Source organism: Homo sapiens, chromosome 1, assembly GCF_000001405.40.
Source record: "Homo sapiens chromosome 1, GRCh38.p14 Primary Assembly".
Classification (NCBI taxonomy): Eukaryota; Metazoa; Chordata; class Mammalia; order Primates; family Hominidae; genus Homo; species Homo sapiens.
Window position 1 is genome coordinate 19060320 of NC_000001.11, and position 13004 is coordinate 19073323.

A 13004-nucleotide genomic window follows, 5' to 3' on the forward strand; every position below is an offset into this window, starting at 1 on the left:
ACAGATCCCTGGGACCACCATCCCCGCCACCCCCTACTCCACCACAGATCCCAGGACCACCATATCCCCAACCCCCACTCCACCACGGATCCCAGGACCACTATGCCCCCCACCCCCATTCCACCACAGATCCCTGGACCACCATATTCCCCACCCGCCGCTCCACCACAGATCCCAGGACCACCATCCCCCCCACACCCTACTCCACCACAGATCCCAGGACCACCATTCCCCCACCCCCCACTCCACCACAGATCCCTGGACCACCATCCCCCCCACCCCCCACTCCACCACAGATTCCTGGATCACCATCTCCACCCCCAACTCCATCACAGATCCCAGGACCACCATGCCCCCCACCTCCCAGTACATCACAGATCCCTGGGCCACCATGCCCCCCACCTTCTACTCCAACACAGATTCCTGGGTAGCAGGCGCCATGCCCTAGCCTTTGGGTGGGTTGTTGGCTGAAGGAGAGCCACTTGCTCCTGTCTCTGGTAGCAGGGACTTGTCCATCCTGGGCAGCCCCCCTCCAAGACAAAGTCCTACCTGTACAGCCTCACTGCTGAGCTGGGCAGGACAGGTGGCTCAGCACCTTTGGGGGATGCTAGGAGCAGGAAAGAGGCTGGGGATCTCCGGGCCAGAACAGGGCAGGGAGTCAGGCTCAGAGGCAGGGCTTCTGGGCTCTTACCTTGTTGTGGAATGAACCCTTCAAAAAAGGGGCCCAAGACTTCAGGCTCTGCAATGAGATAAATCTCTGGCATCAGATAAATATCTGAATTACATTTATCTGATATTGCTGCTCTACTACTTCCCTGCTTGTGAACTCAGGGAAAATACTTACCGTCTCTGAGTCTCAGCTTCCTCATCCGTAAAGTGGGAATGATACATCTACTTTGAAGAGCTACTGTAAGAATAGAGAAGTCAAATAAGTTGAAGCACAGAAAGTGAGCCTGGCATAGTGAGGGCTTAAAACCCCTATCAACATCATCGCCACCACCACCACCACCACCACCATCATCATCACCACCATCATCATCATCACCACCACCACCATCATCCCCACCATCACCATCACCACCACCACCATCACCACCACCACCACCATCATCACCACCACCAACATCACCACTACCACAATCATCACCACAACTAGAACCACCATCATCTCCACCACCACTATCATATTATCATCATTACCATCATCATCATCATCATCATCATCATCATCATCATCATCATCTGAAAAGCAGGGAAGAGTCCCTGGGGAAAGAAACTGACACACTACCTGTGCTGGCCCCACTTAGAGCAGGGGTCAGGTGCTCTGAGACCCACTCACCCTGTCACGGGCAGGAATGGCCCTTGTCCATCCCAGCACTTGGCACCCAGTAGGTGCTCAGCAAGTGTGGGTTGAGTTGGTTTAATCCAAAATACGAACAGAAGGGGCTAATGATCACTAGTGCTGGGGGCAGTTCTCTCAGGGGGCAGGGCTGGGGAAGGCCAAGAATCTGCATCATTGCCCAGCCCTCCAGGTGGCTCTCTTGGAGAAGGAAGGGGAGGCCTCCAAGGGCTCCCAGGAGCACCAGGGGAAGGGCTGGTCTCTTCCAATCCCCTTGTGTTAGAGATAGGCAGGGCCTGGAGAGGGGCGAGGTCATGCAGGGAGCCAGGGCAGCCGTCCACTGCAGCCAGGCCACCTCCTCAAGCCTTCCCTTGTTCTGCTGTCTCCCTCTTCCTGCCTCCCAGCCTCTCCCAGCCACACCCTGCATCTGCAGCCCCTCCCAGCTCCCACCACCAAAACACCTGGCACCAGGCCTTACCCAAGAAATTCACCTGGTAGCCTACACTGGCTGCAAGACACACCTAGGCCCTCAGGGGCTGGCCTCCCTCCAGAACCCTCCACAACAGCCCTCCTCGACCCCTCTGAGATTCAGCTTTCTCTACTTAGGAACCCCTGTCTTGAACACCACCTCCTACAGGAAGTCCTTCCTGATGCCTGGACACCATCCTCCAACCAGATGTGATTTCTCCTTCCCTTAAAATCCCTTCATCCAGGGACACCTGGCTTTGAGTCTCGTGCTGCAGGACTGGGAACAGGTTCAGTGGATGTCTGCTGGTCGCGCCCTGTGCCAGGTGCTGTGGGTGGCTCACAATAACGGTCGTGTGGTGGTTAATGACAGGTCCTGCTGGCTTGTCCAGGCGTTGTGTTAAGTGCTTAGCAGCCATAATCTCAGTCAGTCCTCCCATAGGTAGTAGTACTCCCTCTGTAGGGATGAAGAAACTGAGGCCCAGAGAGGCTGAGCAATTTGCCCAGGGTACACAGCATGGCAGATGGCAGAGCCAGTCTGACACCAAAGCTCCCCTGTAAAATCCCATCTCTGTTTTTCAAGCTCGTGCCTGGATAAGCTGGGCTGGCAACCCAGCCTCTGAAACCACCTCCTGGTCTGGGACCCACCCACCTGCAACTTGCAGGAGGCCACGCCCACAGGATCCTCTAGTGCTTTCCCAGCCTCTCTTGCAGCTGCATGGTCATGGGACCTAGCTCAGCCAATCAGATGCACTTGTGCAGATTTGACCCCAGAGCCAGTGATGCAAAGAAGCAGGATCTAGGTAGGGGCAGGTGGCATGGTGGTGGCTGTGGGCACAGCCATGTTCTGTGTCTAGAGTGTGGCAGCCTGTGTTGACCAGTTCTTTTAACAAGAAGGAAGGGAGGGAGGGATGCTGGGTAGCCGGGGTGGACAGTCACTGGCATCGCTGCACAGCCACAGGCATTCCCAGGGGCTTCAGGGACCTGCCCTGCCCTGCCCAACCCCAGGACGTGGGGTGAGGGGACGCTCACAGGGGCTTCCAGGAGAGCTGTCCTGAGAAGAGGACTCAGGGACCAGCAAACCCTGCTTCCTCTGGACCTGCTAGGGACTCTGAAGGACACCGGCCTGGGGACAGAGCCCACAGACTCCTCAAAGGCCCGGGTCCCTGCAGGCCTGAGCTGCCGGGTCAGACTCCTGGGGCCAACCTGCCCCTAGACTTGCTGACACGTGCCCAAGACCACAGTAAGTTCCCCTCACTGTCCAGGCCGCTTTGCATTGGGTCTTCTGCCACTTGCTACCACACGCCTCTCAGCGCCCCACCCTCCGGCGGTGACACCAATGTCCTCTTGTTCCCTGGGACAGAGCCTGGACGCTGTCTCAGTGAGGGTGCAGTGGGTAAGCTTGGCAGTCAGCCACCAAGTCCTTAGAGCTCTCCAAAGCTCAGTTTCCTCACCTGGAGAGTGGGCTCCTAAGGTGGCTATGAAGCCCAGGAGGTCAAACGCGAAGCTCTCAGAGTAGCCCCGCCAGCTCCCCGGCTGCTGCTGTTACCGGTAATCATCTCTATTCTTACAACAACTCTTTTTTGTTTTGTTTTTTGTTTGTTTGTTTGTTTGAGATGGAGTCTTGCTCTGTCGCCCAGGCTGGAGTGCAGTGGTACCATCTTAGCTCACTGCAACCTCCGCCTCCTGGGTTCAAGCAATTCTCCTGCCTCAGCCTCCCAAGTAGCTGGGATTATAGGCGCGCACCACTACACCTGGGTAATTTTTATATTTTTAGTAGAGACAGGGTTTTGCCATGTTGGCCAGGCTGGTCTTGAACTCCTGACCTCAAGTGATCTGCCCACCTTGACCTCCCAAAGTGCTGGGATTACAGGCGTGAGCCACCGCACCTGGCCAACCCTTCGAGGTAGGTATTAACATCTCCATTTTACAGATGAAGAAAGTGAGGTTCAGAGAGGTGAATTCAAGTGCCCAAGGCCACACAGTCAGCAAGAGGCAGAGTTCCACCTGGAACTCAGTCTGTCTGACTCCCAAGGCCAGTGTCCTCCCACCTAAGCTGCCTCCCTCCCTAGCATTGGCAGAGAGATGGGCAGGTGGCCTGGAGGATGGGCGCTGGGGCAGGCGCGGTGGTTCCCAGGCCTGTGTCTCTCTCCTGTAATCCTCCAGAGATCCCTGGGCCAGCCTTTTTCTCAGCCAGGGCTTAGCAACTTTTCCTAGAAAGGGCCAAGCAGGAAATGTCTTGGGCTTTGAGGGCCACCTCTGGTATCTGTCGCATATTCTTCCAGCCCTTTACAAATGTGAAAACCATTCTTCCTTGCTGGCTGTCCAAAAGCAGGCAGGATTTGCCACCCCAGTTTGGTAAGCTCTGCTGGAATTGATCTGCCATTTTCAGCCAGGTCAGCCTCTGGGACAATAAGTTCTTTGTGTCTGTCCCCACAGTCCTGGCCAGTCAAGTCTGTATATTTCCCAGGTAATGTCCAGCTGGACTGCGGACCAAGATGAGGTGGCAAAGGGGATGGTCTTGGATTTGGACTTAAATCCCTGTTTGTCACTTTGGACGGAGTGGCCTCAGTTTCCTTGTCTGGAAGATGCAAGTAATAGTGCCGGCCTCACGGGGTGGTTATAGGATGAAACTCCCCGTAAGCACTTCCCACGGAGCGAGGCACACCTTGGCAGGTAATTGCGGTGTGGGAAGCACCTGGCGGCCCAGCCCTGGTCTGAACAGCACCTACGCCCGCTTCTTGATGAGGCTGTGGGCCTGGTAGTGCCTGATACCATGATCTTGTGCAAGGCCCTGCCCCTCCTGGGCCTCAGTTTCCCTGTCTGAGGTTGGTTGGATCTGACCCCTGAGGGTCCGCCACCCTTCAGGAGTTAATGGAATGAAAACAGCCATGGGCATGCCAGCCGTCTTGTGCTGATGGCTCTCCCAGGCCGGACGCCACCCTGTGTGGTGCTCAGAGCAGCACGACATGGCAGGGAAGGAAGCCCAGCCTGGGCCCATCCCTGCCCGCCCCTCTGGTTCAAGGCTGCCTTGCCTTCCCTGGCAGGTAGGCAAGCGCAGTCCAGGCTCCGGGCCCCACCATCCCAACCCTGGAACGTCAGGCCCCAGGGAGGCAGAGGGCTCTCCCCTCTGAGCCACCGCTGTCCCCAGGGTCCGTTTGGATTCTGAGAAACCTGTCTGCCATTCTTACCGCAGTCCAACCCTGCGGCTGGGGTGCCAGCCAGGGTAACCGGGAGGAGGACGGGGTGGTTCCCAGCCGGGCCCTGGAAGGCTTCTCAGAAGCCTCTGTTCCCACATCAGGGAGATGTGTCTTAGAACCCACAACTCCTTGGCATCTGCTCAGAGCTGGGCACTTTGCAAACAAACATGTCACATCTATCCTGTGAGGCAAGGCTGCTGACTGCCTTTTACAAGGGGCAAAACTGAGGTTGCTGGGGAAGCAGCTTGTCCAAGGTCGCATAGCCAGAATTAGAACCCAGGACTGTCTGACACCAAAGCCCTTGAACTTTCCACCTGCCACCCAGCCCATAGAGTTGGAAATGACCGTTGACATTGTCACCTCCCAAGTGACACATCTGAGGCACGGCCAGTAGACTGGCCTCTGCTTGGATACCTCCAATGACAGGGGACTCACTACCTCCAAACAGCTCTTGTCACTGTGGGAGCCCTGCTGTCAGCTGTGTTTTCCTTAGACGGAACGGAAACCGCTTCTGTGAAGACCCTTCCTGGGAGTAGGTCCTTCATAACTCCAATGACGCACTTCCAGCGCCGCCTCTGTGCCAGGCTCTTGGTGAATCCAATGAGGCATGTTTGCTTTACACATGAAACCGAAGGCCTGGCCAGGTGAAGGGCTGTTGCCCAGCCAGCCCTGAACCCAATCTGGCCCCAGACTCCAACCTCAACCACTTTCCACCCAGCCCTGGCTTCGGGGCCCCATGCAGAGCTGGCAGGTGTGGTGGGGCAGAGGAGGGAGCGGCCTCAGAGAGACGAGGCAGGGAGGGGCTGGGGAGCCGCCTGGAGCAGCCCCCACCCCCTCCCCAGGACTCAGCACAGTCCTGTGGAGAGGAAACGCTGCAGAAAGGCGGGGTCCTGAGGCTTCTGGAACCTGCCTCCCCTGCTCACAGCACTTCAGGGCCCTCGTGGCGCTCAGATTGGCCCCTTCACCAGCCCCTCGACGTCCCTGTTCCTGACACTCCAGGCCTGTCCTGGCTTCCAGGCAAGGGCACCTGCTGCTCCGACGGCCTCCATGTGGGAACCTGTGTCTGGGACTTGTCTCTCTGAAGCAGAGGGGGCTCCCTGAGGTCAGGGCCTGAGCTGGCTTAACTCAGCACGTCCTGTGAGCACCTGTGCCAGGACTGCCAGATTTAGTCAATAAAAATACAGGCTGTCCAGGGAAGTTTGTATTTCAGAGAAATGGTGAGTCATGTTTTTTTAGTATACTCCATACTAAAGACTGTAATAGTTCAGGGCGCTGGCTGAGCCCCCTGTAAACTTGGCACCTGGATCTAATTCTGGTCCTGTCCCAGCCCACTGGGCTCAGGAACCTAGCAAAGCACAGATCCCACTGCCCGATACCCGTTGTGGGTCCCGCCACCGTCAGAGGTTTACATGTATTTGGTGTTTATGTGAGATTCAGATTTAACTTGGCACCTTGAATTTCACCCAGCAGCCCTAACCCAAGCCCCTCCTTTGGGTGAAGCAACCTCATCCTCGAGCCCCGATTCCCTCATTGGAATGGGATTAACAGTGCCTGCCTCAGAGAGGTGACTCGGGACACGACCGTCGGGTATGGAATCCAGCCCTGCACAGTGGGTTCCAAGTGGGGCCCCAAGGCAGAACCCAGAGCGAGGGAAATGGGAAGGTGCTGGGCCCGCGTCCCATGGCCTGGGCCACCCCTGTGATCGATGGCTCTTGAGGTGACTGGAGCCCTTTTGGCTGCCGGGACAGGAAGGGAGGGAGGGACTGGTGGCCCCATTCACACTGTGCTGTGAAAAGCAGCAGCCCTCCAGCCATCACTTCTGAAACTGGGCGAGGAAACAGAGTGGCATTGTCCTTTTGTCTGCTGTGACACTCCGCATGTGACCCTGTCCCGTGAACGAGCAGATTCCCGCCACATGAGGGGGTAGGGGCTGAAGCGCCAGCAGCTCCATGCCCAGCATTCAGGCCCCACCAAACAAAAGCCACCTCCTAATTGCCCTGTTTGTTCTGGCACGAGGGCTGATGGGGGTGCCTGCGGAGCTCCCTGTCAGCCCGGCCTGGAGCTGGTTCCCAGGGCCTTGCACCTTGTCCGCCCAGCCCCGAGCACGGCTCCCAGCCTGCGGCCAGTTAACCCTTGGCTGTGGCTGCCCTGCCTGCCTGCTGGGCACCTGGCCAAACCCTGGATCCCAGAGCTGTGCCCTCCTGCTGGGAGCTGGGATGATCTAACCCAATCCGTGCCCAGACCAGATGGGGAGCAGGGCCAGGTGAAGAAGCAGGGCTCAGGCTGGCTGGACAGGGAGGCTGCATCTCACTTACGTGCTGTGCAGCCTTGGGTAGGTGAGTTTGCCTCTCTGAGCCTAAGGTTCCTCATCTGTAAAACAGGAAGAACAACAGTAAAAGGACTGGAGATCACGTGAGGCATGGTGATCCTGCTGGAGTGGGTGCTCAGTAAATACAACTCTGGTACAGTTCCCAGATCTCTGAAGCCGGGAACAGCCTAACAAGGGGTCCAGCCAGGACTCCTTGTCGGGACCAAGCTGGCTTGTGGACAGAAGGGGTGGATGGGGTGTCAAGGTCATTGGCCAAAGGCAGCAGAGGGATCTAAGGAACAGAGTCCAAAGAACAATGAGCCTGAGACCCTGTGCCCTTCACTCCTGCCCATGCCCAGAACACCCCCACCTCCCATCCTGCGTGAGAGTTCGGGGCTCTGGATGACTTCCCCCTGTAAACTTGGCACCTGGGGCTAATTCTGGTCCTGTCCCAGCCCCCTGACTCAGAAACTCAGCAAAGCACAGATCCTGCTGCCCCATACCCACTGTGGGTCCCACCACCGTCAGAGGTGGTGACCTTAGATACCTCCCACCACAGCTTCCTCACCCCAGCGCCCCAGAAGCTCATCTCCCTTTTCCTGAGAGGCCTGCCCAACCTCTGGCAATGTCCCGAGAGGCTGCCAGAGGCTGGCACCCCACACCCCTCAGGAGGAAGCCCGCAACCTGCTGCAGATGCTGAAGGTCACTGGGGCTTGTGGCAGTGGCCGGAGATCGGCACCGACTCAGAGCCAGGAGTAGCCAGAGGAGGTGAGCTGGCGGGATACTTGTCTTCATACTCCATCGTCACTTTGACCCCTAAAACAGAGCACCAGCTCCCCCCACACTTCAAGCCAGGCACCTCCCACCCCACTCTTTCCTCCAGGAAGTCATCACACTGCTGGGTGCCCACCTGGAGTGCTGCCAGGCCCCACGTGCCCGGGACCCTGTTGGCCTGTGTGCGATGTGGGAAAGTGATGGACTGCAAGTTGGGGGCCTCAGGCAACTCCGCTCCTGCTCTCCATGCCCACTGTCCCCAACCCTAGAGTGAAGGGGTCAGAGTTCACCTTCAAGCTCTGAAGTCAGGGCAAAGGGGCACAGAGTGAAACGCAGTGGGTGCCGACCCCGGCACCCTTGGCCAGGGGCAGCTCCCAGGGCGGATGGCAGCCGGTAGCCCTCCCATCCCAGGCTGGGGCCCTGATGCTCTGGAGGGCAGGGTCCCTCTGACCCGGCCAGGCGGCAGCAGAAACGGTTCTGCCTCTGCACATGCCTTGCTCAGCTTCTCCAGGCCTGTTAAGGAGGCCAAAGGGGGCAGGTTGGCAACTCATGGGTACCAGGCCAAGCTCCAAGACTGAGCAACAGATAAGGATGGGGAGGAAGGGAGTAGCCCCCCCAGGGCAGGAAACACAGAGCAGAGAGACAGAAATAAAGCATGGAAAGCAAACAGATGTCACCAAAGCAACTGAACTCGTGAGTGCCTGGAAGGCGTGTACATGTGTGTGTGCATGTCAGGTTGGGTATCTGTCCTGACACCCGTAAGATAAGGAGAGGGGTGCTGTGGAGCCTAAGAGATCCTCCCCCAGACATTCTGTGATTCCTGGTTTTTGTTGTTGTTGCTGCTGTTGTTTTGAGATGGAATCTTGCTCTATCACCCAGGTTGGAGTGCAGTAGCGCGATCACGGCTCACTGCAACCTCTGCCTCCCAGGGTTCAAGCGATTCTCCTGCCTCAGCCTCCCAAGTAGCTGGGATTACAGGCACCCACCACCATGCCCGGATAATTTTTGTATTTTTAGTAGAGATGGGGTTTTGTCAAGTTGGCCAGGCTGGTCTCAAACTTCTGGCCTCAAGTGAGCCACCCGCCTCGGCCTCCCAAAGTGCTGGGATTACAAGCGTGAGCCATCACATCCAGTCATCTGTGATTCCTTGACACACTGATACAGTAACACTGACGGTCACAGCTAAGGCCAGCTGTGCCGGGGCTGTGCCAGGTTCTAGGACCTTCTGTATTTGTTCCTTGAATCTTCACCCACACAGAGAGGTTAGGAAACTTGCTCAAGTCCCACAGCAGAGCTGGGCCCCCTCTGGAGCCCTCGGTCTTGCCTCTATGCCATGCGGCCCTTGCCCTCTGATGGGAAGTGGCACCCCAAATTCAGAGCCCATGCAATGCAACTGTTTAGTCCTAGGACATGTACCTCTCAGCCGCATCCTCAGGTACAGGGCCCTGAGGCTGCCTCCGCTGGCCATGGGGACAGGAGAGAGCAAACTGGGTCACACTCCCTAAGTCAGCCTTCACCCTCTTCCTCCTTCTGGTCCCCGCACCCCAGCATGAACAGCAACCAGTCTCCCCAGGCCAGCAACACTCTCTGAAAAGGGGGTTTCAGAGCCAAACACATCTGGGTTCTCATCGTGGCTCCACACTTCGCTGTGTGAGCCTGCGTAGGTCATTAGCCTCTCTGCACCTGTTTACCTGTGTGGAGAAGGGAATACCACCTGCCACTTGGGATGGCCGCAAGGATGGAAGGACGTGCTGCAGGTGAAACACCAGCTTCCCGCGGGCCCTGAGTAAAGGCTGGCTCTCGGCTCCCTTCCTGTTCAGAGGCTACTCTGCTCCCCCTATTGCATCTGAGCCACCAGCCAGGATGGGGTCAGAAAGAAGGCCAAGGGCACCAAGAGAAGGCGGAGGATTCGTCCAGGCCTCGCCCCAGGTAAGCGTCAGCAGCCAGCTCCAGGGAGCTCAGCCTGGGGATTTACCTTGTCCCTCTCTGCCATCCTCTTGGTGCTGCTGGGAACTGCTCCAGCTTGAAAAGGACTTGTTGTGGTCTCGGAGACCAGAGCTAGCTCCAGGCAAAGGAATGGCCCTGCCCTGAGGTGATCTATGACAGGAGGAGGAAGGGGCAGGGCCCGGAGCAGGAGCCGGGCAGGAGCCCTGACTTGGGCACTCCAGCCTGCGTCTGAGCCAGCTCTGCCTCCAGCATGTTCCAGGGTCTCAGCACAGCCTTGCTGCAGGAACAGCAAAGGGCAGGGGTTGGTGGGGAAGGGCCCTCATGGGCCCACCTGCTCCAGCCTCTTACTGGAATCAGGTTTGGATTTATTGCCCTTCATCCCAGAGTTAGGCATAGGGTTGTGGAGATGGCTGACTGTTCCCTGGGAGATGCTGACATAGACCCATCATTTAGCCAACAAATACTCCCCGAGCGTCCTCTATGCACTGAGCACTGTTCTAGGCACTGTAGATGCAGCAGCAAATAAAGGAAAGCTACTAGCAGGACGCAGCAGAGGGAGATGAACAGGCGAGCTGACCACAGCTGCATGAGGCCGAAGGAAAGGACCGAAACAGGGCAGGCAGGGGCAGAGAGAGCCCCGGAGGGCACTGCTCTCCCAGATCAGGGCTCAGGGGCATCTCTGAGACCTGAGTGGAGGGAGGAGATGAGCCACGCAAACATCTGGGCTAATGGGACAAAGTGAGAGCCTGGGCGGTGGATATGTGCCCTGTGCGAGGGAACAGCAGGGAGCAAGTGTGTGGAGCGGGGATGAGAGGGAGTGGGGAGGAGGGAGGCTGGAGAGGGTCTGGGAGCCTGGGAGGTAGTTTAGCTGCCCTTCAAAATGTGAAAGTGAAAAGAGTTTCAGAGGCAACCGCCTGCAGCGTGTTTTTAAGTGACTGCTCTGGGTGCTTGGAGAATGGACTACGGAGTGGGAGGAAGTGGGAGATCCAGGAGCTGGGTCTGGGTGCGAAGGTGGTGGGAAGTGGCCAGCTCTGGGCTATATTCCGCAGCCTAGAGAGCAGAGTGAGTCTCTTTTCTGGCTCCTCCCAGTCCCCTACAGGGACCCCATGCTGACAGCGGAGCACAGACTAGGTGCCCAGCTGAGGTTTGCTAAGTGACCAAAGAGGATGCCTGTTGCAACCAGGTATGAGAATCTGGCCATGGGCACTTTGGAGCTGGGAGCTGACCAACCCGGCCACCCCACGTAAGCAGCATGCCAACTACAGCCTGTCCCCCACATTGATCTGTCTACACTTCACACTGCCACCTCACACCTTATGTCCCTGGAACCCCTCAGTTCTGATTCTCTCCTTTCCATGAGGACAGAGCCTGTTTGATGCACGCTGTGCCCCCGGCCTCTGGTAAGTCCCTGGCACCGAGGAGACACTTGCTACATCCTGGAAGGAACAAATGAAGTCGCATGACCCAGAGTAATCTTTGGAGTCCCGCAGACCCCTCAGCTCCTGACTCCTTAGCAGGCGAGTTACCTCCTCTGGGTTACCGCCTCCCCATTGGTAAGGCGGAAATTCCACCACCTAACATACAGGGTTGACGCAGGAGTAAAATGCAGAGAACCGAGCGCAGCCCCCGGTGTCCCAACAAACACCCCTGGGGAGGGGAGGTGCAGGCAGGGGGCCTCTCTTTTCACCTCTAAGGGCAACAAACTTGGACAGCTGGGAACCAGGGCGGCTGCTGACTGAGGAACACCAGAGGCTTCAGCCGTTCTACAAGGAAGGTGTTGACACTGCCTCCCCAACTTTATTGCTGAACTCGAACTTTATGGGTTTCAAATTGCAGCTATCATTAGGCATAGCCAGTCCAGAATCAACTTAATTCCCCAACTGGGGCTGCCTGTTGAGAAAGACAGGGACCCAAGAACCAATGGGCCCAGATAATGGTGCAGGACAGGAGAGGGCTAAGTGGCTTTTTCCTCGGTGCCCTTCGATGCTCCTTTCGTGAGACCTGGGCCTGGGGAGGTGTAGCTCTCTCCCCAGACCAGCCTCCACTCCTGCTGGAGCCCAGACCAGCCTCCACTCCTGGAGCCCAGACCAGCCTCCACTCCTGCTGGAGCCCAGACCAGCCTCCACTCCTGCTGGAGACCAGTCCAGCCTCCACTCCTGCTGGAGACCAGTCCAGCCTCCACTCCTGCTGGAGCAGGCCAAAAGCACCCCCTGGAACCTGTCCCAGACCTCATGGCTGCCGTGTCAGCAGCTTGTCTGGGGCTATGGCAGAGCCACTGGAAGCACCCCTGTGCAGACACTAGGAAAAGCTCTACTAGTGAAAACAAGATGTGTTTGGGCTGGGGCCCACATCCTCTGAGGCCTTTGCAAGAAATAAAAAAATGCAGGGCAGACAAAAATAAGCAAACACTTTGTAATGAGCTTTGGTGACTCCACCTTTGCAGGCCAGAGCAGCAGGCCTCGGGTGGGCTTCTGAAGGCACCAGGTCCACTCTCGCTGCCCTGAGGTGTGATGACGGACGTGCTGAGCCTCCCTGAGCCACATGAAGCAGCGAGGCCGGCCTCTGCACAGGCGGCCCCATGCCACCAGCTCACCTGGCTGCTCCTCACGCTCCCTCCTTGCTTTGCTGTCTGGATGAGGCTGCTCCACTTTATTTCTCACAAGGAGGTGATGTAATAGCGAACAGACTCCTGAACACCTGAATCAGTCTCTCGGAGACCAGCAGAAAGTGGGCAACCACAGACACACAGCAGGAGCAAGCCTGAGGCATTCCCAGTATAAGGCAGAAGGGTGCCAAGACCAAGGGTCTCCATCGTCCTCACTGAACTCAGCTGGACTTCACCTGGGGCATGGGTGCCTTCCTTCAGACTAAAACAAGTTCACTAACAGTAAGAAAAGCTACTAGTTACTACACAGCAGGCAGATTAGCTCGTGGAAACCTCAGCACCCTCCCGCCACATAGATATTCCCAT

At 57.3% G+C, this 13004-nt stretch overlaps 2 annotated features.

The window, feature by feature from the left end:
* Positions 8116-8410: a silencer, noted in NCBI's record as "tiled region #2200; K562 Repressive non-DNase unmatched - State 20:ReprD". NCBI's record gives its function as "represses a minimal TATA promoter and a strong SV40 promoter by Sharpr-MPRA in K562 cells {active_cell/tissue: K562}" and the evidence as "EXISTENCE:reporter gene assay evidence [ECO:0000049][PMID:27701403]".
* Positions 9622-10547: an enhancer, noted in NCBI's record as "H3K4me1 hESC enhancer chr1:19396435-19397360 (GRCh37/hg19 assembly coordinates)". NCBI's record gives its function as "activates a minimal SCP1, AML or CMV promoter by ChIP-STARR-seq in naive H9 embryonic stem cells {active_cell/tissue: H9 hESC(naive)}" and the evidence as "EXISTENCE:reporter gene assay evidence [ECO:0000049][PMID:30033119]".